Source organism: Homo sapiens, chromosome 14 (assembly GCF_000001405.40).
Source record: "Homo sapiens chromosome 14, GRCh38.p14 Primary Assembly".
In the NCBI taxonomy this organism is placed as follows: Eukaryota; Metazoa; Chordata; class Mammalia; order Primates; family Hominidae; genus Homo; species Homo sapiens.
Genome location: NC_000014.9, coordinates 105,877,091 through 105,901,945, shown reverse-complemented (window position 1 = coordinate 105,901,945; position 24,855 = coordinate 105,877,091). Strand labels below are relative to the sequence as shown.

At 59.6% G+C, this 24,855-nt stretch overlaps 14 gene segments (V, D, J or C) and 1 further gene; all 15 read left to right on the top strand.

Annotated features, from left to right (window-relative positions):
• The window catches only part of IGH (immunoglobulin heavy locus), a 1,293,408-nt gene that overhangs the window by 977,899 nt on the left and 290,654 nt on the right, over positions 1–24,855 (top strand).
• IGHD6-13 (immunoglobulin heavy diversity 6-13) lies at positions 784–804 on the top strand. The segment is given in 1 exon segment: positions 784–804. A coding segment is annotated over 1 exon segment (21 nt), but the record flags the coding sequence as incomplete, so codon positions are not given.
• IGHD1-14 (immunoglobulin heavy diversity 1-14 (non-functional)) lies at positions 1,292–1,308 on the top strand. The segment is given in 1 exon segment: positions 1,292–1,308. A coding segment is annotated over 1 exon segment (17 nt), but the record flags the coding sequence as incomplete, so codon positions are not given.
• Positions 3,959–3,989, top strand: IGHD2-15 (immunoglobulin heavy diversity 2-15). The segment is given in 1 exon segment: positions 3,959–3,989. A coding segment is annotated over 1 exon segment (31 nt), but the record flags the coding sequence as incomplete, so codon positions are not given.
• IGHD3-16 (immunoglobulin heavy diversity 3-16) lies at positions 6,276–6,312 on the top strand. The segment is given in 1 exon segment: positions 6,276–6,312. A coding segment is annotated over 1 exon segment (37 nt), but the record flags the coding sequence as incomplete, so codon positions are not given.
• Positions 7,423–7,438, top strand: IGHD4-17 (immunoglobulin heavy diversity 4-17). The segment is given in 1 exon segment: positions 7,423–7,438. A coding segment is annotated over 1 exon segment (16 nt), but the record flags the coding sequence as incomplete, so codon positions are not given.
• On the top strand, positions 8,385–8,404 carry IGHD5-18 (immunoglobulin heavy diversity 5-18). The segment is given in 1 exon segment: positions 8,385–8,404. A coding segment is annotated over 1 exon segment (20 nt), but the record flags the coding sequence as incomplete, so codon positions are not given.
• On the top strand, positions 10,227–10,247 carry IGHD6-19 (immunoglobulin heavy diversity 6-19). The segment is given in 1 exon segment: positions 10,227–10,247. A coding segment is annotated over 1 exon segment (21 nt), but the record flags the coding sequence as incomplete, so codon positions are not given.
• On the top strand, positions 10,739–10,755 carry IGHD1-20 (immunoglobulin heavy diversity 1-20). The segment is given in 1 exon segment: positions 10,739–10,755. A coding segment is annotated over 1 exon segment (17 nt), but the record flags the coding sequence as incomplete, so codon positions are not given.
• On the top strand, positions 13,368–13,395 carry IGHD2-21 (immunoglobulin heavy diversity 2-21). The segment is given in 1 exon segment: positions 13,368–13,395. A coding segment is annotated over 1 exon segment (28 nt), but the record flags the coding sequence as incomplete, so codon positions are not given.
• Positions 15,885–15,915, top strand: IGHD3-22 (immunoglobulin heavy diversity 3-22). The segment is given in 1 exon segment: positions 15,885–15,915. A coding segment is annotated over 1 exon segment (31 nt), but the record flags the coding sequence as incomplete, so codon positions are not given.
• On the top strand, positions 17,058–17,076 carry IGHD4-23 (immunoglobulin heavy diversity 4-23 (non-functional)). The segment is given in 1 exon segment: positions 17,058–17,076. A coding segment is annotated over 1 exon segment (19 nt), but the record flags the coding sequence as incomplete, so codon positions are not given.
• Positions 18,024–18,043, top strand: IGHD5-24 (immunoglobulin heavy diversity 5-24 (non-functional)). The segment is given in 1 exon segment: positions 18,024–18,043. A coding segment is annotated over 1 exon segment (20 nt), but the record flags the coding sequence as incomplete, so codon positions are not given.
• On the top strand, positions 20,390–20,407 carry IGHD6-25 (immunoglobulin heavy diversity 6-25). The segment is given in 1 exon segment: positions 20,390–20,407. A coding segment is annotated over 1 exon segment (18 nt), but the record flags the coding sequence as incomplete, so codon positions are not given.
• IGHD1-26 (immunoglobulin heavy diversity 1-26) lies at positions 20,893–20,912 on the top strand. The segment is given in 1 exon segment: positions 20,893–20,912. A coding segment is annotated over 1 exon segment (20 nt), but the record flags the coding sequence as incomplete, so codon positions are not given.

Here is a 24,855-nt window from a genome sequence, read left to right as displayed (position 1 = left end):
GCCTGCCAGAAACACAGCACCCTCCCTAGCCCTGGCTAAGACAGGGTGGGCAGACGGCTGTGGACGGGACATATTGCTGGGGCATTTCTCACTGTCACTTCTGGGTGGTAGCTCTGACAAAAACGCAGACCCTGCCAAAATCCCCACTGCCTCCCGCTAGGGGCTGGCCTGGAATCCTGCTGTCCTAGGAGGCTGCTGACCTCCAGGATGGCTCCGTCCCCAGTTCCAGGGCGAGAGCAGATCCCAGGCAGGCTGTAGGCTGGGAGGCCACCCCTGCCCTTGCCGGGGTTGAATGCAGGTGCCCAAGGCAGGAAATGGCATGAGCACAGGGATGACCGGGACATGCCCCACCAGAGTGCGCCCCTTCCTGCTCTGCACCCTGCACCCCCCAGGCCAGCCCACGACGTCCAACAACTGGGCCTGGGTGGCAGCCCCACCCAGACAGGACAGACCCAGCACCCTGAGGAGGTCCTGCCAGGGGGAGCTAAGAGCCATGAAGGAGCAAGATATGGGGCCCCCGATACAGGCACAGATGTCAGCTCCATCCAGGACCACCCAGCCCACACCCTGAGAGGAACGTCTGTCTCCAGCCTCTGCAGGTCGGGAGGCAGCTGACCCCTGACTTGGACCCCTATTCCAGACACCAGACAGAGGCGCAGGCCCCCCAGAACCAGGGTTGAGGGACGCCCCGTCAAAGCCAGACAAAACCAAGGGGTGTTGAGCCCAGCAAGGGAAGGCCCCCAAACAGACCAGGAGGTTTCTGAAGGTGTCTGTGTCACAGTGGGGTATAGCAGCAGCTGGTACCACAGTGACACTCACCCAGCCAGAAACCCCATTCCAAGTCAGCGGAAGCAGAGAGAGCAGGGAGGACACGTTTAGGATCTGAGACTGCACCTGACACCCAGGCCAGCAGACGTCTCCCCTCCAGGGCACCCCACCCTGTCCTGCATTTCTGCAAGATCAGGGGCGGCCTGAGGGGGGGTCTAGGGTGAGGAGATGGGTCCCCTGTACACCAAGGAGGAGTTAGGCAGGTCCCGAGCACTCTCCCCATTGAGGCTGACCTGCCCAGAGAGTCCTGGGCCCACCCCACACACCGGGGCGGAATGTGTGCAGGCCTCGGTCTCTGTGGGTGTTCCGCTAGCTGGGGCTCACAGTGCTCACCCCACACCTAAAATGAGCCACAGCCTCCGGAGCCCCCGCAGGAGACCCCGCCCACAAGCCCAGCCCCCACCCAGGAGGCCCCAGAGCTCAGGGCGCCCCGTCGGATTCCGAACAGCCCCGAGTCACAGCGGGTATAACCGGAACCACCACTGTCAGAATAGCTACGTCAAAAACTGTCCAGTGGCCACTGCCGGAGGCCCCGCCAGAGAGGGCAGCAGCCACTCTGATCCCATGTCCTGCCGGCTCCCATGACCCCCAGCACGCGGAGCCCCACAGTGTCCCCACTGGATGGGAGGACAAGAGCTGGGGATTCCGGCGGGTCGGGGCAGGGGCTTGATCGCATCCTTCTGCCGTGGCTCCAGTGCCCCTGGCTGGAGTTGACCCTTCTGACAAGTGTCCTCAGAGAGACAGGCATCACCGGCGCCTCCCAACATCAACCCCAGGCAGCACAGGCACAAACCCCACATCCAGAGCCAACTCCAGGAGCAGAGACACCCCAATACCCTGGGGGACCCCGACCCTGATGACTTCCCACTGGAATTCGCCGTAGAGTCCACCAGGACCAAAGACCCTGCCTCTGCCTCTGTCCCTCACTCAGGACCTGCTGCCGGGCGAGGCCTTGGGAGCAGACTTGGGCTTAGGGGACACCAGTGTGACCCCGACCTTGACCAGGACGCAGACCTTTCCTTCCTTTCCTGGGGCAGCACAGACTTTGGGGTCTGGGCCAGGAGGAACTTCTGGCAGGTCGCCAAGCACAGAGGCCACAGGCTGAGGTGGCCCTGGAAAGACCTCCAGGAGGTGGCCACTCCCCTTCCTCCCAGCTGGACCCCATGTCCTCCCCAAGATAAGGGTGCCATCCAAGGCAGGTGCTCCTTGGAGCCCCATTCAGACTCCTCCCTGGACCCCACTGGGCCTCAGTCCCAGCTCTGGGGATGAAGCCACCACAAGCACACCAGGCAGCCCAGGCCCAGCCACCCTGCAGTGCCCAAGCACACACTCTGGAGCAGAGCAGGGTGCCTCTGGGAGGGGCTGAGCTCCCCACCCCACCCCCACCTGCACACCCCACCCACCCCTGCCCAGCGGCTCTGCAGGAGGGTCAGAGCCCCACATGGGGTATGGACTTAGGGTCTCACTCACGTGGCTCCCATCATGAGTGAAGGGGCCTCAAGCCCAGGTTCCCACAGCAGCGCCTGTCGCAAGTGGAGGCAGAGGCCCGAGGGCCACCCTGACCTGGTCCCTGAGGTTCCTGCAGCCCAGGCTGCCCTGCTGTCCCTGGGAGGCCTGGGCTCCACCAGACCACAGGTCCAGGGCACCGGGTGCAGGAGCCACCCACACACAGCTCACAGGAAGAAGATAAGCTCCAGACCCCCAGGGCCAGAACCTGCCTTCCTGCTACTGCTTCCTGCCCCAGACCTGGGCGCCCTCCCCCGTCCACTTACACACAGGCCAGGAAGCTGTTCCCACACAGAACAACCCCAAACCAGGACCGCCTGGCACTCAGGTGGCTGCCATTTCCTTCTCCATTTGCTCCCAGCGCCTCTGTCCTCCCTGGTTCCTCCTTCGGGGGAACAGCCTGTGCAGCCAGTCCCTGCAGCCCACACCCTGGGGAGACCCAACCCTGCCTGGGGCCCTTCCAACCCTGCTGCTCTTACTGCCCACCCAGAAAACTCTGGGGTCCTGTCCCTGCAGTCCCTACCCTGGTCTCCACCCAGACCCCTGTGTATCACTCCAGACACCCCTCCCAGGCCAACCCTGCACCTGCAGGCCCTGTCCTCTTCTGTCGCTAGAGCCTCAGTTTCTCCCCCCTGTGCCCACACCCTACCTCCTCCTGCCCACAACTCTAACTCTTCTTCTCCTGGAGCCCCTGAGCCATGGCATTGACCCTGCCCTCCCACCACCCACAGCCCATGCCCTCACCTTCCTCCTGGCCACTCCGACCCCGCCCCCTCTCAGGCCAAGCCCTGGTATTTCCAGGACAAAGGCTCACCCAAGTCTTTCCCAGGCAGGCCTGGGCTCTTGCCCTCACTTCCCGGTTACACGGGAGCCTCCTGTGCACAGAAGCAGGGAGCTCAGCCCTTCCACAGGCAGAAGGCACTGAAAGAAATCGGCCTCCAGCACCTTGACACACGTCCCCCCGTGTCTCTCACTGCCCGCACCTGCAGGGAGGCTCCGCACTCCCTCTAAAGACAAGGGATCCAGGCAGCAGCATCACGGGAGAATGCAGGGCTCCCAGACATCCCAGTCCTCTCACAGGCCTCTCCTGGGAAGAGACCTGCAGCCACCACCAAACAGCCACAGAGGCTGCTGGATAGTAACTGAGTCAATGACCGACCTGGAGGGCAGGGGAGCAGTGAGCCGGAGCCCATACCATAGGGACAGAGACCAGCCGCTGACATCCCGAGCTCCTCAATGGTGGCCCCATAACACACCTAGGAAACATAACACACCCACAGCCCCACCTGGAACAGGGCAGAGACTGCTGAGCCCCCAGCACCAGCCCCAAGAAACACCAGGCAACAGTATCAGAGGGGGCTCCCGAGAAAGAGAGGAGGGGAGATCTCCTTCACCATCAAATGCTTCCCTTGACCAAAAACAGGGTCCACGCAACTCCCCCAGGACAAAGGAGGAGCCCCCTATACAGCACTGGGCTCAGAGTCCTCTCTGAGACACCCTGAGTTTCAGACAACAACCCGCTGGAATGCACAGTCTCAGCAGGAGAACAGACCAAAGCCAGCAAAAGGGACCTCGGTGACACCAGTAGGGACAGGAGGATTTTGTGGGGGCTCGTGTCACTGTGAGGATATTGTAGTGGTGGTAGCTGCTACTCCCACAGTGACACAGACCCATTCCCAAAGCCCTACTGCAAACACACCCACTCCTGGGGCTGAGGGGCTGGGGGAGCGTCTGGGAAGTAGGGTCCAGGGGTGTCTATCAATGTCCAAAATGCACCAGACTGCCCGCCAAACACCACCCCACCAGCCAGCGAGCAGGGTAAACAGAAAATGAGAGGCTCTGGGAAGCTTGCACAGGCCCCAAGGAAAGAGCTTTGGCGGGTGTGCAAGAGGGGATGCAGGCAGAGCCTGAGCAGGGCCTTTTGCTGTTTCTGCTTTCCTGTGCAGAGAGTTCCATAAACTGGTGTTCAAGATCAGTGGCTGGGAATGAGCCCAGGAGGGCAGTCTGTGGGAAGAGCACAGGGAAGGAGGAGCAGCCGCTATCCTACACTGTCATCTTTCAAAAGTTTGCCTTGTGACCACACTATTGCATCATGGGATGCTTAAGAGCTGATGTAGACACAGCTAAAGAGAGAATCAGTGAGATGAATTTGCAGCATAGATCTGAATAAACTCTCCAGAATGTGGAGCAGTACAGAAGCAAACACACAGAAAGTGCCTGATGCAAGGACAAAGTTCAGTGGGCACCTTCAGGCATTGCTGCTGGGCACAGACACTCTGAAAAGCCCTGGCAGGATCTCCCTGCGACAAAGCAGAACCCTCAGGCAATGCCAGCCCCAGAGCCCTCCCTGAGAGCGTCATGGGGAAAGATGTGCAGAACAGCTGATTATCATAGACTCAAACTGAGAACAGAGCAAACGTCCATCTGAAGAACAGTCAAATAAGCAATGGTAGGTTCATGCAATGCAAACCCAGACAGCCAGGGGACAACAGTAGAGGGCTACAGGCGGCTTTGCGGTTGAGTTCATGACAATGCTGAGTAATTGGAGTAACAGAGGAAAGCCCAAAAAATACTTTTAATGTGATTTCTTCTAAATAAAATTTACACCAGGCAAAATGAACTGTCTTCTTAAGGGATAAACTTTCCCCTGGAAAAACTACAAGGAAAATTAAGAAAACGATGATCACATAAACACAGTTGTGGTTACTTCTACTGGGGAAGGAAGAGGGTATGAGCTGAGACACACAGAGTCGGCAAGTCTCCAAGCAAGCACAGAACGAATACATTACAGTACCTTGAATACAGCAGTTAAACTTCTAAATCGCAAGAAGAGGAAAATGCACACAGCTGTGTTTAGAAAATTCTCAGTCCAGCACTATTCATAATAGCAAAGACATTAACCCAGGTTGGATAAATAAATGATGACACAGGCAATTGCACAATGATACAGACATACATTTAGTACATGAGACATCGATGATGTATCCCCAAAGAAATGACTTTAAAGAGAAAAGGCCTGATGTGTGGTGGCACTCACCTCCCTGGGATCCCCGGACAGGTTGCAGGCACACTGTGTGGCAGGGCAGGCTGGTACATGCTGGCAGCTCCTGGGGCCTGATGTGGAGCAAGCGCAGGGCTGTATACCCCCAAGGATGGCACAGTCAGTGAATTCCAGAGAGAAGCAGCTCAGCCACACTGCCCAGGCAGAGCCCGAGAGGGACGCCCACGCACAGGGAGGCAGAGCCCAGCTCCTCCACAGCCACCACCACCTGTGCACGGGCCACCACCTTGCAGGCACAGAGTGGGTGCTGAGAGGAGGGGCAGGGACACCAGGCAGGGTGAGCACCCAGAGAAAACTGCAGAAGCCTCACACATCCACCTCAGCCTCCCCTGACCTGGACCTCACCTGGTCTGGACCTCACCTGGCCTGGGCCTCACCTGACCTGGACCTCACCTGGCCTGGGCTTCACCTGACCTGGACCTCACCTGGCCTCCGGCCTCACCTGCACCTGCTCCAGGTCTTGCTGGAACCTGAGTAGCACTGAGGCTGCAGAAGCTCATCCAGGGTTGGGGAATGACTCTGGAACTCTCCCACATCTGACCTTTCTGGGTGGAGGCATCTGGTGGCCCTGGGAATATAAAAAGCCCCAGAATGGTGCCTGCGTGATTTGGGGGCAATTTATGAACCCGAAAGGACATGGCCATGGGGTGGGTAGGGACATAGGGACAGATGCCAGCCTGAGGTGGAGCCTCAGGACACAGTTGGACGCGGACACTATCCACATAAGCGAGGGACAGACCCGAGTGTTCCTGCAGTAGACCTGAGAGCGCTGGGCCCACAGCCTCCCCTCGGTGCCCTGCTGCCTCCTCAGGTCAGCCCTGGACATCCCGGGTTTCCCCAGGCCAGATGGTAGGTTTGAAGTGAGGTCTGTGTCACTGTGGTATTATGATTACGTTTGGGGGAGTTATCGTTATACCCACAGCATCACACGGTCCATCAGAAACCCATGCCACAGCCCTCCCCGCAGGGGACCGCCGCGTGCCATGTTACGATTTTGATCGAGGACACAGCGCCATGGGTATGGTGGCTACCACAGCAGTGCAGCCCATGACCCAAACACACAGGGCAGCAGGCACAATGGACAGGCCTGTGAGTGACCATGCTGGGCTCCAGCCCGCCAGCCCCGGAGACCATGAAACAGATGGCCAAGGTCACCCCACAGTTCAGCCAGACATGGCTCCGTGGGGTCTGCATCGCTGCTGCCCTCTAACACCAGCCCAGATGGGGACAAGGCCAACCCCACATTACCATCTCCTGCTGTCCACCCAGTGGTCCCAGAAGCCCCTCCCTCATGGCTGAGCCACATGTGTGAACCCTGAGAGCACCCCATGTCAGAGTAGGGGCAGCAGAAGGGCGGGGCTGGCCCTGTGCACTGTCCCTGCACCCATGGTCCCTCGCCTGCCTGGCCCTGACACCTGAGCCTCTTCTGAGTCATTTCTAAGATAGAAGACATTCCCGGGGACAGCCGGAGCTGGGCGTCGCTCATCCCGCCCGGCCGTCCTGAGTCCTGCTTGTTTCCAGACCTCACCAGGGAAGCCAACAGAGGACTCACCTCACACAGTCAGAGACAAAGAACCTTCCAGAAATCCCTGTCTCACTCCCCAGTGGGCACCTTCTTCCAGGACATTCCTCGGTCGCATCACAGCAGGCACCCACATCTGGATCAGGACGGCCCCCAGAACACAAGATGGCCCATGGGGACAGCCCCACAACCCAGGCCTTCCCAGACCCCTAAAAGGCGTCCCACCCCCTGCACCTGCCCCAGGGCTAAAAATCCAGGAGGCTTGACTCCCGCATACCCTCCAGCCAGACATCACCTCAGCCCCCTCCTGGAGGGGACAGGAGCCCGGGAGGGTGAGTCAGACCCACCTGCCCTCGATGGCAGGCGGGGAAGATTCAGAAAGGCCTGAGATCCCCAGGACGCAGCACCACTGTCAATGGGGGCCCCAGACGCCTGGACCAGGGCCTGCGTGGGAAAGGCCGCTGGGCACACTCAGGGGCTTTTTGTGAAGGCCCCTCCTACTGTGTGACTACGGTGACTACCACAGTGATGAAACTAGCAGCAAAAACTGGCCGGACACCCAGGGACCATGCACACTTCTCAGCTTGGAGCTCTCCAGGACCAGAAGAGTCAGGTCTGAGGGTTTGTAGCCAGACCCTCGGCCTCTAGGGACACCCTGGCCATCACAGCGGATGGGCTGGTGCCCCACATGCCATCTGCTCCAAACAGGGGCTTCAGAGGGCTCTGAGGTGACTTCACTCATGACCACAGGTGCCCTGGCCCCTTCCCCGCCAGCTACACCGAACCCTGTCCCAACAGCTGCCCCAGTTCCAACAGCCAATTCCTGGGGCCCAGAATTGCTGTAGACACCAGCCTCGTTCCAGCACCTCCTGCCAATTGCCTGGATTCACATCCTGGCTGGAATCAAGAGGGCAGCATCCGCCAGGCTCCCAACAGGCAGGACTCCCGCACACCCTCCTCTGAGAGGCCGCTGTGTTCCGCAGGGCCAGGCCCTGGACAGTTCCCCTCACCTGCCACTAGAGAAACACCTGCCATTGTCGTCCCCACCTGGAAAAGACCACTCGTGGAGCCCCCAGCCCCAGGTACAGCTGTAGAGAGACTCCCCGAGGGATCTAAGAAGGAGCCATGCGCAGTTCTGCCGGGACCCTCGGCCAGGCCGACAGGAGTGGACACTGGAGCTGGGCCCACACTGGGCCACATAGGAGCTCACCAGTGAGGGCAGGAGAGCACATGCCGGGGAGCACCCAGCCTCCTGCTGACCAGAGGCCCGTCCCAGAGCCCAGGAGGCTGCAGAGGCCTCTCCAGGGGGACACTGTGCATGTCTGGTCCCTGAGCAGCCCCCCACGTCCCCAGTCCTGGGGGCCCCTGGCACAGCTGTCTGGACCCTCCCTCTTCCCTGGGAAGCTCCTCCTGACAGCCCCGCCTCCAGTTCCAGGTGTGGTTATTGTCAGGGGGTGTCAGACTGTGGTGGATACAGCTATGGTTACCACAGTGGTGCTGCCCATAGCAGCAACCAGGCCAAGTAGACAGGCCCCTGCTGTGCAGCCCCAGGCCTCCAGCTCACCTGCTTCTCCTGGGGCTCTCAAGGTCACTGTTGTCTGTACTCTGCCCTCTGTGGGGAGGGTTCCCTCAGTGGGAGGTCTGTTCTCAACATCCCAGGGCCTCATGTCTGCACGGAAGGCCAATGGATGGGCAACCTCACATGCCGCGGCTAAGATAGGGTGGGCAGCCTGGCGGGGGACAGTACATACTGCTGGGGTGTCTGTCACTGTGCCTAGTGGGGCACTGGCTCCCAAACAACGCAGTCCTCGCCAAAATCCCCACAGCCTCCCCTGCTAGGGGCTGGCCTGATCTCCTGCAGTCCTAGGAGGCTGCTGACCTCCAGAATGTCTCCGTCCCCAGTTCCAGGGCGAGAGCAGATCCCAGGCCGGCTGCAGACTGGGAGGCCACCCCCTCCTTCCCAGGGTTCACTGGAGGTGACCAAGGTAGGAAATGGCCTTAACACAGGGATGACTGCGCCATCCCCCAACAGAGTCAGCCCCCTCCTGCTCTGTACCCCGCACCCCCCAGGCCAGTCCACGAAAACCAGGGCCCCACATCAGAGTCACTGCCTGGCCCGGCCCTGGGGCGGACCCCTCAGCCCCCACCCTGTCTAGAGGACTTGGGGGGACAGGACACAGGCCCTCTCCTTATGGTTCCCCCACCTGCCTCCGGCCGGGACCCTTGGGGTGTGGACAGAAAGGACACCTGCCTAATTGGCCCCCAGGAACCCAGAACTTCTCTCCAGGGACCCCAGCCCGAGCACCCCCTTACCCAGGACCCAGCCCTGCCCCTCCTCCCCTCTGCTCTCCTCTCATCACCCCATGGGAATCCGGTATCCCCAGGAAGCCATCAGGAAGGGCTGAAGGAGGAAGCGGGGCCGTGCACCACCGGGCAGGAGGCTCCGTCTTCGTGAACCCAGGGAAGTGCCAGCCTCCTAGAGGGTATGGTCCACCCTGCCTGGGGCTCCCACCGTGGCAGGCTGCGGGGAAGGACCAGGGACGGTGTGGGGGAGGGCTCAGGGCCCTGCGGGTGCTCCTCCATCTTCGGTGAGCCTCCCCCTTCACCCACCGTCCCGCCCACCTCCTCTCCACCCTGGCTGCACGTCTTCCACACCATCCTGAGTCCTACCTACACCAGAGCCAGCAAAGCCAGTGCAGACAAAGGCTGGGGTGCAGGGGGGCTGCCAGGGCAGCTTCGGGGAGGGAAGGATGGAGGGAGGGGAGGTCAGTGAAGAGGCCCCCTTCCCCTGGGTCCAGGATCCTCCTCTGGGACCCCCGGATCCCATCCCCTCCTGGCTCTGGGAGGAGAAGCAGGATGGGAGAATCTGTGCGGGACCCTCTCACAGTGGAATATCCCCACAGCGGCTCAGGCCAGACCCAAAAGCCCCTCAGTGAGCCCTCCACTGCAGTCCTGGGCCTGGGTAGCAGCCCCTCCCACAGAGGACAGACCCAGCACCCCGAAGAAGTCCTGCCAGGGGGAGCTCAGAGCCATGAAAGAGCAGGATATGGGGTCCCCGATACAGGCACAGACCTCAGCTCCATCCAGGCCCACCGGGACCCACCATGGGAGGAACACCTGTCTCCGGGTTGTGAGGTAGCTGGCCTCTGTCTCGGACCCCACTCCAGACACCAGACAGAGGGGCAGGCCCCCCAAAACCAGGGTTGAGGGATGATCCGTCAAGGCAGACAAGACCAAGGGGCACTGACCCCAGCAAGGGAAGGCTCCCAAACAGACGAGGAGGTTTCTGAAGCTGTCTGTATCACAGTGGGGTATAGCAGTGGCTGGTACCACAGTGACACTCGCCAGGCCAGAAACCCCGTCCCAAGTCAGCGGAAGCAGAGAGAGCAGGGAGGACACGTTTAGGATCTGAGGCCGCACCTGACACCCAGGGCAGCAGACGTCTCCCCTCCAGGGCACCCTCCACCGTCCTGCGTTTCTTCAAGAATAGGGGCGGCCTGAGGGGGTCCAGGGCCAGGCGATAGGTCCCCTCTACCCCAAGGAGGAGCCAGGCAGGACCCGAGCACCGTCCCCATTGAGGCTGACCTGCCCAGACGGGCCTGGGCCCACCCCACACACCGGGGCGGAATGTGTGCAGGCCCCAGTCTCTGTGGGTGTTCCGCTAGCTGGGGCCCCCAGTGCTCACCCCACACCTAAAGCGAGCCCCAGCCTCCAGAGCCCCCTAAGCATTCCCCGCCCAGCAGCCCAGCCCCTGCCCCCACCCAGGAGGCCCCAGAGCTCAGGGCGCCTGGTCGGATTCTGAACAGCCCCGAGTCACAGTGGGTATAACTGGAACGACCACCGTGAGAAAAACTGTGTCCAAAACTGACTCCTGGCAGCAGTCGGAGGCCCCGCCAGAGAGGGGAGCAGCCGGCCTGAACCCATGTCCTGCCGGTTCCCATGACCCCCAGCACCCAGAGCCCCACGGTGTCCCCGTTGGATAATGAGGACAAGGGCTGGGGGCTCCGGTGGTTTGCGGCAGGGACTTGATCACATCCTTCTGCTGTGGCCCCATTGCCTCTGGCTGGAGTTGACCCTTCTGACAAGTGTCCTCAGAAAGACAGGGATCACCGGCACCTCCCAATATCAACCCCAGGCAGCACAGACACAAACCCCACATCCAGAGCCAACTCCAGGAGCAGAGACACCCCAACACTCTGGGGGACCCCAACCGTGATAACTCCCCACTGGAATCCGCCCCAGAGTCTACCAGGACCAAAGGCCCTGCCCTGTCTCTGTCCCTCACTCAGGGCCTCCTGCAGGGCGAGCGCTTGGGAGCAGACTCGGTCTTAGGGGACACCACTGTGGGCCCCAACTTTGATGAGGCCACTGACCCTTCCTTCCTTTCCTGGGGCAGCACAGACTTTGGGGTCTGGGCAGGGAAGAACTACTGGCTGGTGGCCAATCACAGAGCCCCCAGGCCGAGGTGGCCCCAAGAAGGCCCTCAGGAGGTGGCCACTCCACTTCCTCCCAGCTGGACCCCAGGTCCTCCCCAAGATAGGGGTGCCATCCAAGGCAGGTCCTCCATGGAGCCCCCTTCAGACTCCTCCCGGGACCCCACTGGACCTCAGTCCCTGCTCTGGGAATGCAGCCACCACAAGCACACCAGGAAGCCCAGGCCCAGCCACCCTGCAGTGGGCAAGCCCACACTCTGGAGCAGAGCAGGGTGCGTCTGGGAGGGGCTAACCTCCCCACCCCCCACCCCCCATCTGCACACAGCCACCTACCACTGCCCAGACCCTCTGCAGGAGGGCCAAGCCACCATGGGGTATGGACTTAGGGTCTCACTCACGTGCCTCCCCTCCTGGGAGAAGGGGCCTCATGCCCAGATCCCTGCAGCACTAGACACAGCTGGAGGCAGTGGCCCCAGGGCCACCCTGACCTGGCATCTAAGGCTGCTCCAGCCCAGACAGCACTGCCGTTCCTGGGAAGCCTGGGCTCCACCAGACCACAGGTCCAGGGCACAGCCCACAGGAGCCACCCACACACAGCTCACAGGAAGAAGATAAGCTCCAGACCCCAGGGCGGGACCTGCCTTCCTGCCACCACTTACACACAGGCCAGGGAGCTGTTCCCACACAGATCAACCCCAAACCGGGACTGCCTGGCACTAGGGTCACTGCCATTTCCCTCTCCATTCCCTCCCAGTGCCTCTGTGCTCCCTCCTTCTGGGGAACACCCTGTGCAGCCCCTCCCTGCAGCCCACACGCTGGGGAGACCCCACCCTGCCTCGGGCCTTTTCTACCTGCTGCACTTGCCGCCCACCCAAACAACCCTGGGTACGTGACCCTGCAGTCCTCACCCTGATCTGCAACCAGACCCCTGTCCCTCCCTCTAAACACCCCTCCCAGGCCAACTCTGCACCTGCAGGCCCTCCGCTCTTCTGCCACAAGAGCCTCAGGTTTTCCTACCTGTGCCCACCCCCTAACCCCTCCTGCCCACAACTTGAGTTCTTCCTCTCCTGGAGCCCTTGAGCCATGGCACTGACCCTACACTCCCACCCACACACTGCCCATGCCATCACCTTCCTCCTGGACACTCTGACCCCGCTCCCCTCCCTCTCAGACCCGGCCCTGGTATTTCCAGGACAAAGGCTCACCCAAGTCTTCCCCATGCAGGCCCTTGCCCTCACTGCCTGGTTACACGGGAGCCTCCTGTGCGCAGAAGCAGGGAGCTCAGCTCTTCCACAGGCAGAAGGCACTGAAAGAAATCGGCCTCCAGTGCCTTGACACACGTCCGCCTGTGTCTCTCACTGCCTGCACCTGCAGGGAGGCTCCGCACTCCCTCTAAAGATGAGGGATCCAGGCAGCAACATCACGGGAGAATGCAGGGCTCCCAGACAGCCCAGCCCTCTCGCAGGCCTCTCCTGGGAAGAGACCTGCAGCCACCACTGAACAGCCACGGAGGTCGCTGGATAGTAACCGAGTCAGTGACCGACCTGGAGGGCAGGGGAGCAGTGAACCGGAGCCCATACCATAGGGACAGAGACCAGCCGCTAACATCCCGAGCCCCTCACTGGCGGCCCCAGAACACCCCGTGGAAAGAGAACAGACCCACAGTCCCACCTGGAACAGGGCAGACACTGCTGAGCCCCCAGCACCAGCCCCAAGAAACACTAGGCAACAGCATCAGAGGGGGCTCCTGAGAAAGAGAGGAGGGGAGGTCTCCTTCACCATCAAATGCTTCCCTTGACCAAAAACAGGGTCCACGCAACTCCCCCAGGACAAAGGAGGAGCCCCCTGTACAGCACTGGGCTCAGAGTCCTCTCTGAGACAGGCTCAGTTTCAGACAACAACCCGCTGGAATGCACAGTCTCAGCAGGAGAGCCAGGCCAGAGCCAGCAAGAGGAGACTCGGTGACACCAGTCTCCTGTAGGGACAGGAGGATTTTGTGGGGGTTCGTGTCACTGTGAGCATATTGTGGTGGTGACTGCTATTCCCACAGTGACACAACCCCATTCCTAAAGCCCTACTGCAAACGCACCCACTCCTGGGACTGAGGGGCTGGGGGAGCATCTGGGAAGTATGGCCTAGGGGTGTCCATCAATGCCCAAAATGCACCAGACTCTCCCCAAGACATCACCCCACCAGCCAGTGAGCAGAGTAAACAGAAAATGAGAAGCAGCTGGGAAGCTTGCACAGGCCCCAAGGAAAGAGCTTTGGCAGGTGTGCAAGAGGGGATGTGGGCAGAGCCTCAGCAGGGCCTTTTGCTGTTTCTGCTTTCCTGTGCAGAGAGTTCCATAAACTGGTATTCAAGATCAATGGCTGGGAGTGAGCCCAGGAGGACAGTGTGGGAAGAGCACAGGGAAGGAGGAGCAGCCGCTATCCTACACTGTCATCTTTTGAAAGTTTGCCCTGTGCCCACAATGCTGCATCATGGGATGCTTAACAGCTGATGTAGACACAGCTAAAGAGAGAATCAGTGAAATGCATTTGCAGCACAGATCTGAATAAATCCTCCAGAATGTGGAGCAGCACAGAAGCAAGCACACAGAAAGTGCCTGATGCCAAGGCAAAGTTCAGTGGGCACCTTCAGGCATTGCTGCTGGGCACAGACACTCTGAAAAGCACTGGCAGGAACTGCCTGTGACAAAGCAGAACCCTCAGGCAATGCCAGCCCTAGAGCCCTTCCTGAGAACCTCATGGGCAAAGATGTGCAGAACAGCTGTTTGTCATAGCCCCAAACTATGGGGCTGGACAAAGCAAACGTCCATCTGAAGGAGAACAGACAAATAAACGATGGCAGGTTCATGAAATACAAACTAGGACAGCCAGAGGACAACAGTAGAGAGCTACAGGCGGCTTTGCGGTTGAGTTCATGACAATGCTGAGTAATTGGAGTAACAGAGGAAAGCCCAAAAAATACTTTTAATGTGATTTCTTCTAAATAAAATTTACACCCGGCAAAATGAACTATCTTCTTAAGGGATAAACTTTCCCCTGGAAAAACTATAAGGAAAATCAAGAAAACGATGATCACATAAACACAGTGGTGGTTACTTCTACTGGGGAAGGAAGAGGGTATGAGCTGAGACACACAGAGTCGGCAAGTCTCCTAACAAGAACAGAACAAATACATTACAGTACCTTGAAAACAGCAGTTAAACTTCTAAATCGCAAGAAGAGGAAAATGCACACACCTGTGTTTAGAAAATTCTCAGTCCAGCACTGTTCATAATAGCAAAGACATTAACCCAGGTTGGATAAATAAGCGATGACACAGGCAATTGCACAATGATACAGACATACATTCAGTATATGAGACATCGATGATGTATCCCCAAAGAAATGACTTTAAAGAGAAAAGGCCTGATGTGTGGTGGCAATCACCTCCCTGGGCATCCCCGGACAGGCTGCAGGCTCACTGTGTGGCAGGGCAGGCAGGCACCTGCTGGCAGCTCCTGGGGCCTGATGTGGAGCAGGCACAGAGCTGTATATCCCCAAGGAAGGTACAGTCAGTGCATTCCAGAGAGAAGCAACTCAGCCACACTCCCTGGCCAGAACCCAAGATGCACACCCATGCACAGGGAGGCAGAGCCCAGCACCTCCGCAGCCACCACCACCTGCGCACGGGCCACCACCTTGCAGGCACAGAGTGGGTGCTGAGAGGAGGGGCAGGGACACCAGGCAGGGTGAGCACCCAGAGAAAACTGCAGAAGCCTCACACATCCACCTCAGCCTCCCCTGACCTGGACCTCACCTGGCCTGGGCCTCACCTGACCTGGACCTCACCTGGCCTGGGCTTCACCTGGCCTGGGCTTCACCTGACCTGGACCTCACCTGGCCTCGGGCCTCACCTGGCCTGGGCTTCACCTGGCCTGGGCTTCACCTGACCTGGACCTCACCTGGCCTGGGCCTCACCTGACCTGGACCTCACCTGGCCTGGGCTTCACCTGGCCTGGGCTTCACCTGGCCTGGGCTTCACCTGACCTGGACCTCACCTGGCCTGGGCTTCACCTGACCTGGACCTCACCTGGCCTCGGGCCTCACCTGCACCTGCTCCAGGTCTTGCTGGAGCCTGAGTAGCACTGAGGCTGTAGGGACTCATCCAGGGTTGGGGAATGACTCTGCAACTCTCCCACATCTGACCTTTCTGGGTGGAGGCACCTGGTGGCCCAGGGAATATAAAAAGCCCCAGAATGATGCCTGTGTGATTTGGGGGCAATTTATGAACCCGAAAGGACATGGCCATGGGGTGGGTAGGGACAGTAGGGACAGATGTCAGCCTGAGGTGAAGCCTCAGGACACAGGTGGGCATGGACAGTGTCCACCTAAGCGAGGGACAGACCCGAGTGTCCCTGCAGTAGACCTGAGAGCGCTGGGCCCACAGCCTCCCCTCGGGGCCCTGCTGCCTCCTCAGGTCAGCCCTGGACATCCCGGGTTTCCCCAGGCCTGGCGGTAGGTTTGAAGTGAGGTCTGTGTCACTGTGGTATTACTATGATAGTAGTGGTTATTACTACCACAGTGTCACAGAGTCCATCAAAAACTCATGCCTGGGAGCCTCCCACCACAGCCCTCCCTGCGGGGGACCGCTGCATGCCGTGTTAGGATTTTGATCGAGGACACGGCGCCATGGGTATGGTGGCTACCACAGCAGTGCAGCCCATGACCCAAACACACGGGGCAGCAGAAACAATGGACAGGCCCACAAGTGACCATGATGGGCTCCAGCCCACCAGCCCCAGAGACCATGAAACAGATGGCCAAGGTCACCCTACAGGTCATCCAGATCTGGCTCCAAGGGGTCTGCATCGCTGCTGCCCTCCCAACGCCAAACCAGATGGAGACAGGGCCGGCCCCATAGCACCATCTGCTGCCGTCCACCCAGCAGTCCCGGAAGCCCCTCCCTGAACGCTGGGCCACGTGTGTGAACCCTGCGAGCCCCCCATGTCAGAGTAGGGGCAGCAGGAGGGCGGGGCTGGCCCTGTGCACTGTCACTGCCCCTGTGGTCCCTGGCCTGCCTGGCCCTGACACCTGAGCCTCTCCTGGGTCATTTCCAAGACATTCCCAGGGACAGCCGGAGCTGGGAGTCGCTCATCCTGCCTGGCTGTCCTGAGTCCTGCTCATTTCCAGACCTCACCAGGGAAGCCAACAGAGGACTCACCTCACACAGTCAGAGACAATGAACCTTCCAGAAATCCCTGTTTCTCTCCCCAGTGAGAGAAACCCTCTTCCAGGGTTTCTCTTCTCTCCCACCCTCTTCCAGGACAGTCCTCAGCAGCATCACAGCGGGAACGCACATCTGGATCAGGACGGCCCCCAGAACACGCGATGGCCCATGGGGACAGCCCAGCCCTTCCCAGACCCCTAAAAGGTATCCCCACCTTGCACCTGCCCCAGGGCTCAAACTCCAGGAGGCCTGACTCCTGCACACCCTCCTGCCAGATATCACCTCAGCCCCCTCCTGGAGGGGACAGGAGCCCGGGAGGGTGAGTCAGACCCACCTGCCCTCAATGGCAGGCGGGGAAGATTCAGAAAGGCCTGAGATCCCCAGGACGCAGCACCACTGTCAATGGGGGCCCCAGACGCCTGGACCAGGGCCTGTGTGGGAAAGGCCTCTGGCCACACTCAGGGGCTTTTTGTGAAGGGCCCTCCTGCTGTGTGACTACGGTGGTAACTCCCACAGTGATGAAACCAGCAGCAAAAACTGACCGGACTCGCAGGGTTTATGCACACTTCTCGGCTCGGAGCTCTCCAGGAGCACAAGAGCCAGGCCCGAGGGTTTGTGCCCAGACCCTCGGCCTCTAGGGACACCCGGGCCATCTTAGCCGATGGGCTGATGCCCTGCACACCGTGTGCTGCCAAACAGGGGCTTCAGAGGGCTCTGAGGTGACTTCACTCATGACCACAGGTGCCCTGGTCCCTTCACTGCCAGCTGCACCAGACCCTGTTCCGAGAGATGCCCCAGTTCCAAAAGCCAATTCCTGGGGCCGGGAATTACTGTAGACACCAGCCTCATTCCAGTACCTCCTGCCAATTGCCTGGATTCCCATCCTGGCTGGAATCAAGAGGGCAGCATCCGCCAGGCTCCCAACAGGCAGGACTCCCACACACCCTCTTCTGAGAGGCCGCTGTGTTCCGCAGGGCCAGGCCGCAGACAGTTCCCCTCACCTGCCCATGTAGAAACACCTGCCATTGTCGTCCCCACCTGGCAAAGACCACTTGTGGAGCCCCCAGCCCCAGGTACAGCTGTAGAGAGAGTCCTCGAGGCCCCTAAGAAGGAGCCATGCCCAGTTCTGCTGGGACCCTCGGCCAGGCCGACAGGAGTGGACGCTGGAGCTGGGCCCACACTGGGCCACATAGGAGCTCACCAGTGAGGGCAGGAGAGCACATGCCGGGGAGCACCCAGCCTCCTGCTGACCAGAGACCCGTCCCAGAGCCCAGGAGGCTGCAGAGGCCTCTCCAGGGGGACACAGGGCATGTCTGGTCCCTGAGCAGCCCCCAGGCTCTCTAGCACTGGGGGCCCCTGGCACAGCTGTCTGGACCCTCCCTGTTCCCTGGGAAGCTCCTCCTGACAGCCCCGCCTCCAGTTCCAGGTGTGGTTATTGTCAGGGGGTGCCAGGCCGTGGTAGAGATGGCTACAATTACCACAGTGGTGCCGCCCATAGCAGCAACCAGGCCAAGTAGACAGACCCCTGCCACGCAGCCCCAGGCCTCCAGCTCACCTGCTTCTCCTGGGGCTCTCAAGGCTGCTGTCTGCCCTCTGGCCCTCTGTGGGGAGGGTTCCCTCAGTGGGAGGTCTGTGCTCCAGGGCAGGGATGACTGAGATAGAAATCAAAGGCTGGCAGGGAAAGGCAGCTTCCCGCCCTGAGAGGTGCAGGCAGCACCACAGAGCCATGGAGTCACAGAGCCACGGAGCCCCCAGTGTGGGCGTGTGAGGGTGCTGGGCTCCCGGCAGGCCCAGCCCTGATGGGGAAGCCTGCCCCGTCCCACAGCCCAGGTCCCCAGGGGCAGCAGGCACAGAAGCTGCCAAGCTGTGCTCTACGATCCTCATCCCTCCAGCAGCATCCACTCCACAGTGGGGAAACTGAGCCTTGGAGAACCACCCAGCCCCCTGGAAACAAGGCGGGGAGCCCAGACAGTGGGCCCAGAGCACTGTGTGTATCCTGGCACTAGGTGCAGGGACCACCCGGAGATCCCCATCACTGAGTGGCCAGCCTGCAGAAGGACCCAACCCCAACCAGGCCGCTTGATTAAGCTCCATCCCCCTGTCCTGGGAACCTCTTCCCAGCGCCACCAACAGCTCGGCTTCCCAGGCCCTCATCCCTCCAAGGAAGGCCAAAGGCTGGGCCTGCCAGGGGCACAGTACCCTCCCTTGCCCTGGCTAAGACAGGGTGGGCAGACGGCTGCAGATAGGACATATTGCTGGGGCATCTTGCTCTGTGACTACTGGGTACTGGCTCTCAACGCAGACCCTACCAAAATCCCCACTGCCTCCCCTGCTAGGGGCTGGCCTGGTCTCCTCCTGCTGTCCTAGGAGGCTGCTGACCTCCAGGATGGCTTCTGTCCCCAGTTCTAGGGCCAGAGCAGATCCCAGGCAGGCTGTAGGCTGGGAGGCCACCCCTGTCCTTGCCGAGGTTCAGTGCAGGCACCCAGGACAGGAAATGGCCTGAACACAGGGATGACTGTGCCATGCCCTACCTAAGTCCGCCCCTTTCTACTCTGCAACCCCCACTCCCCAGGTCAGCCCATGACGACCAACAACCCAACACCAGAGTCACTGCCTGGCCCTGCCCTGGGGAGGACCCCTCAGCCCCCACCCTGTCTAGAGGACTTGGGGGGACAGGACACAGGCCCTCTCCTTATGGTTCCCCCACCTGGCTCCTGCCGGGACCCTTGGGGTGTGGACAGAAAGGACGCCTGCCTAATTGGCCCCCAGGAACCCAGAACTTCTCTCCAGGGACCCCAGCCCGAGCACCCCCTTACCCAGGACCCAGCCCTGCCCCTCCTCCCCTCTGCTCTCCTCTCATCACTCCATGGGAATCCAGAATCCCCAGGAAGCCATCAGGAAGGGCTGAAGGAGGAAGCGGGGCCGCTGCACCACCGGGCAGGAGGCTCCGTCTTCGTGAACCCAGGGAAGTGCCAGCCTCCTAGAGGGTATGGTCCACCCTGCCTGGGGCTCCCACCGTGGCAGGCTGCGGGGAAGGACCAGGGACGGTGTGGGGGAGGGCTCAGGTCCCTGCAGGTGCTCCATCTTGGATGAGCCCATCCCTCTCACCCACCGACCCGCCCACCTCCTCTCCACCCTGGCCACACGTCGTCCACACCATCCTGAGTCCCACCTACACCAGAGCCGGCAGAGCCAGTGCAGACAGAGGCTGGGGTGCAGGGGGGCCGCCAGGGCAGCTTTGGGGAGGGAGGAATGGAGGAAGGGGAGGTCAGTGAAGAGGCCCCCCTCCCCTGGGTCTAGGATCCACCTTTGGGACCCCCGGATCCCATCCCCTCCAGGCTCTGGGAGGAGAAGCAGGATGGGAGAATCTGTGCGGGACCCTCTCACAGTGGAATACCTCCACAGCGGCTCAGGCCAGATACAAAAGCCCCTCAGTGAGCCCTCCACTGCAGTGCTGGGCCTGGGGGCAGCCCCTCCCACAGAGGACAGACCCAGCACCCCGAAGAAGTCCTGCCAGGGGGAGCTCAGAGCCATGAAGGAGCAAGATATGGGGACCCCAATACTGGCACAGACCTCAGCTCCATCCAGGCCCACCAGGACCCACCATGGGTGGAACACCTGTCTCCGGCCCCTGCTGGCTGTGAGGCAGCTGGCCTCTGTCTCGGACCCCCATTCCAGACACCAGACAGAGGGACAGGCCCCCCAGAACCAGTGTTGAGGGACACCCCTGTCCAGGGCAGCCAAGTCCAAGAGGCGCGCTGAGCCCAGCAAGGGAAGGCCCCCAAACAAACCAGGAGGTTTCTGAAGCTGTCTGTGTCACAGTCGGGTATAGCAGCGGCTACCACAATGACACTGGGCAGGACAGAAACCCCATCCCAAGTCAGCCGAAGGCAGAGAGAGCAGGCAGGACACATTTAGGATCTGAGGCCACACCTGACACTCAAGCCAACAGATGTCTCCCCTCCAGGGCGCCCTGCCCTGTTCAGTGTTCCTGAGAAAACAGGGGCAGCCTGAGGGGATCCAGGGCCAGGAGATGGGTCCCCTCTACCCCGAGGAGGAGCCAGGCGGGAATCCCAGCCCCCTCCCCATTGAGGCCATCCTGCCCAGAGGGGCCCGGACCCACCCCACACACCCAGGCAGAATGTGTGCAGGCCTCAGGCTCTGTGGGTGCCGCTAGCTGGGGCTGCCAGTCCTCACCCCACACCTAAGGTGAGCCACAGCCGCCAGAGCCTCCACAGGAGACCCCACGCAGCAGCCCAGCCCCTACCCAGGAGGCCCCAGAGCTCAGGGCGCCTGGGTGGATTCTGAACAGCCCCGAGTCACGGTGGGTATAGTGGGAGCTACTACCACTGTGAGAAAAGCTATGTCCAAAACTGTCTCCCGGCCACTGCTGGAGGCCCAGCCAGAGAAGGGACCAGCCGCCCGAACATACGACCTTCCCAGCCCTCATGACCCCCAGCACTTGGAGCTCCACAGTGTCCCCATTGGATGGTGAGGACGGGGGCCGGGGCCATCTGCACCTCCCAACATCACCCCCAGGCAGCACAGGCACAAACCCCAAATCCAGAGCCGACACCAGGAACACAGACACCCCAATACCCTGGGGGACCCTGGCCCTGGTGACTTCCCACTGGGATCCACCCCCGTGTCCACCTGGATCAAAGACCCCACCGCTGTCTCTGTCCCTCACTCAGGGCCTGCTGAGGGGCGGGTGCTTTGGAGCAGACTCAGGTTTAGGGGCCACCATTGTGGGGCCCAACCTCGACCAGGACACAGATTTTTCTTTCCTGCCCTGGGGCAACACAGACTTTGGGGTCTGTGCAGGGAGGACCTTCTGGAAAGTCACCAAGCACAGAGCCCTGACTGAGGTGGTCTCAGGAAGACCCCCAGGAGGGGGTTTGTGCCCCTTCCTCTCATGTGGACCCCATGCCCCCCAAGATAGGGGCATCATGCAGGGCAGGTCCTCCATGCAGCCACCACTAGGCAACTCCCTGGCGCCGGTCCCCACTGCGCCTCCATCCCGGCTCTGGGGATGCAGCCACCATGGCCACACCAGGCAGCCCGGGTCCAGCAACCCTGCAGTGCCCAAGCCCTTGGCAGGATTCCCAGAGGCTGGAGCCCACCCCTCCTCATCCCCCCACACCTGCACACACACACCTACCCCCTGCCCAGTCCCCCTCCAGGAGGGTTGGAGCCGCCCATAGGGTGGGCGCTCCAGGTCTCACTCACTCGCTTCCCTTCCTGGGCAAAGGAGCCTCGTGCCCCGGTCCCCCCTGACGGCGCTGGGCACAGGTGTGGGTACTGGGCCCCAGGGCTCCTCCAGCCCCAGCTGCCCTGCTCTCCCTGGGAGGCCTGGGCACCACCAGACCACCAGTCCAGGGCACAGCCCCAGGGAGCCGCCCACTGCCAGCTCACAGGAAGAAGATAAGCTTCAGACCCTCAGGGCCGGGAGCTGCCTTCCTGCCACCCCTTCCTGCCCCAGACCTCCATGCCCTCCCCCAACCACTTACACACAAGCCAGGGAGCTGTTTCCACACAGTTCAACCCCAAACCAGGACGGCCTGGCACTCGGGTCACTGCCATTTCTGTCTGCATTCGCTCCCAGCGCCCCTGTGTTCCCTCCCTCCTCCCTCCTTCCTTTCTTCCTGCATTGGGTTCATGCCGCAGAGTGCCAGGTGCAGGTCAGCCCTGAGCTTGGGGTCACCTCCTCACTGAAGGCAGCCTCAGGGTGCCCAGGGGCAGGCAGGGTGGGGGTGAGGCTTCCAGCTCCAACCGCTCCACTAGCCGAGACTAAGGAAGTGAGAGGCAGCCAGAAATCCAGACCATTCCATAGCAAATGGATTTCATTAAAGTTACCAGACTTCAGTGTAAGTAACATGAGCCCCATGCACAACAATCCCTTATGAAGGGGAAGTCAGTGTCGCCTCGGATTTCTTGAAAAACACAAAAACTTATCAATGCCTGTAAAAGTCTGTTGGAAAGAAAATATGATTCAAGAATGTTATGCCCAACAAAGCTGGCATATTTTCTACCCGGACACACTCAGGGAATGTGGTCCCTTGAGTGCTTCTCTCACTGCGTAAATCCTACGTGGTGTTTAAGCATATTCATAAATGTGTATGTCTATTTTTATGTGTAAGATGGTTCATTTTTATTTTATTTATTCAATATGTACAATAAAGAATATTGACAAATAGGCTGGACATGGTGGCTCCCACCTGTAATCCCAGCCCTTTGGGAGGCCGAGGCGGGCAGATCACCTGAGGTCTGGAGTTCGAGACCAGCCTGGCCAACATGATGAAAACCCATCTCTACTAAAAATACAAAGATTAGCCAGGCATGGTGGTGCATGCCTGTAATCCCAGCCACTCAGGAGGCTGAGACAGGAGAAATGCGTGAACCCGGAAGGCGGAGGTTGCAGTGAGCCGAGATCACACCACTGCACTCCAGCCTGGCGACAGAGCAAGATTCCATCTCAAAAAAAAAAAGACAAAGAAATTTGTTTTTTTGAATAAAGACAAATTTCATCACACGAAGATAAAGATGCAAAGCTCCAGACAGGAAGGCACGGACAGCACAGTGAAGCCCGGAGCGGGCGCTGGGGGGCCAGGGGCATGGCGGGGGTGCCAGCGTCTCTCGGTGCCTACCATGGCCACTCCAGCCTGTGTTCTCACGAGGATGGCTGTGCAATGCTAGGAGCGTGTTCGAAGCTCTAGGGCAACCACTGGAAGTGAGGCTGAGGAGCAGAGCCCAGAGGCCCGTGGAGCTGATGAAAAGAAAGCTGGAGAAAGTGTTTGCTGCCTCCCAACATGGTAAGAAAAGATAGAAAGAGAGAGCACACGGCAAAGGGAGCTTGCTGAGGGACTCTTTACAATGGCTTGCACAGAGCTCAGGGGGTCTGGGAGGCTAGGGCCCTGCGCAGGGCAGTCACCCCAGCCTGCTGACCAAGGTTTGCTGCAGGCAGCTCTGGGGGTGGTTGAGGCGCGGTCCCTGGAGCCACCCCTCAAGGGAACGAGGCAGCAGAGTGGGCCAAGGCCCAGGTCGGCTGCAAGGCTGCCCAGGACTTGGGGTCCTTACATCAGCAGCCACTGATGCAGCTGGCCCAGAGAGAGGCGCCGAGCAGGTTGCCTCCAGGGGACAAACCAGGTCGGAGAGGGTGAGGCAGTGGATGGAGCCACAACAACCCCGGGCACGGGTGACACGCACGTTCATGCACATCTGACCCTTCCTCCCTCACCAAACAGGTCCCCCTGCCTTCCCCATGGTTGCGAAAAAGCAAAATGTAGACGTTTTTTCTTTTTTAATTCATGTTTTAATTGACAAATGAAGCCGTATATATTTATTGTGTACAACATGATGCTTTAAAATATGTATACATCGTGGAACAGCAACGTTGAGCTAATTTAACACGCATTACTTCACATACTTGTCATCTTTTGTGGCGAGAATGCTTAAAATCCACTCTCTTAGTATTTTTTAAGAATGCAATACATTGTTGTCAACTGTGGTCACCGTCATGCATAGCCAAGCTCCCGACCTCACCCTCCTGCCAGCTCAGGCTGTGCATCCTTTCACCAGCATCCCCCACCCCGGCCCCTGGCCCTGGTAACTACCACTCTATACTCTACGTATGAGTTCAGCTTTTTAAGATTCCACAGATGAATGAGATCATACAGTATTTGCTTTCTATGCCTGGCTTATTTTAGTTAACACACTGTCCTCCAGATCCATCCGTTGTTGCAAATGACAGGGTTTCATTCTTTTTAAAGTCTAAAGAGTATTCCATTGTGTCAATGGACCTCATTTGCTTTATCCATGCATCAACTATGGACATTTAGGTTGATTCCATTTCTTAGCTGTTGTGGATGGTGCTGCAGTAAACATGGGGCTGCAGATGTCTCTTCAACATACTGACATCATGTCCTTTGGATAAATACCCAGTAGTGGGATCGCTGGATCACAATGTACAGTTTTTTTTTTAATGGAAACTTTCATTTTTTGGTGAAATTAGGAAAACAGATAAAACCCACAGAATCCAAAATATATGTGAAGATGCCAAAAACAGTTGACATTGGGCAGAGGTCACATGGAAGGAAGTGAATACATGACGGGGTGTGAGGGCCCAGAGGCAGCTGAAATACGCTTTCTAAACACAAGGACCTCTTCTGAGAGGGCAGAAGTTTTATCCTGCACATGCAATGACCAGCACAGCTAAAATACACTTTCTAAACATGAGGACCTCTTCTGAGAGGGCAGCTTTATCCTGCAAATGCAATGACCAGCACAGGAC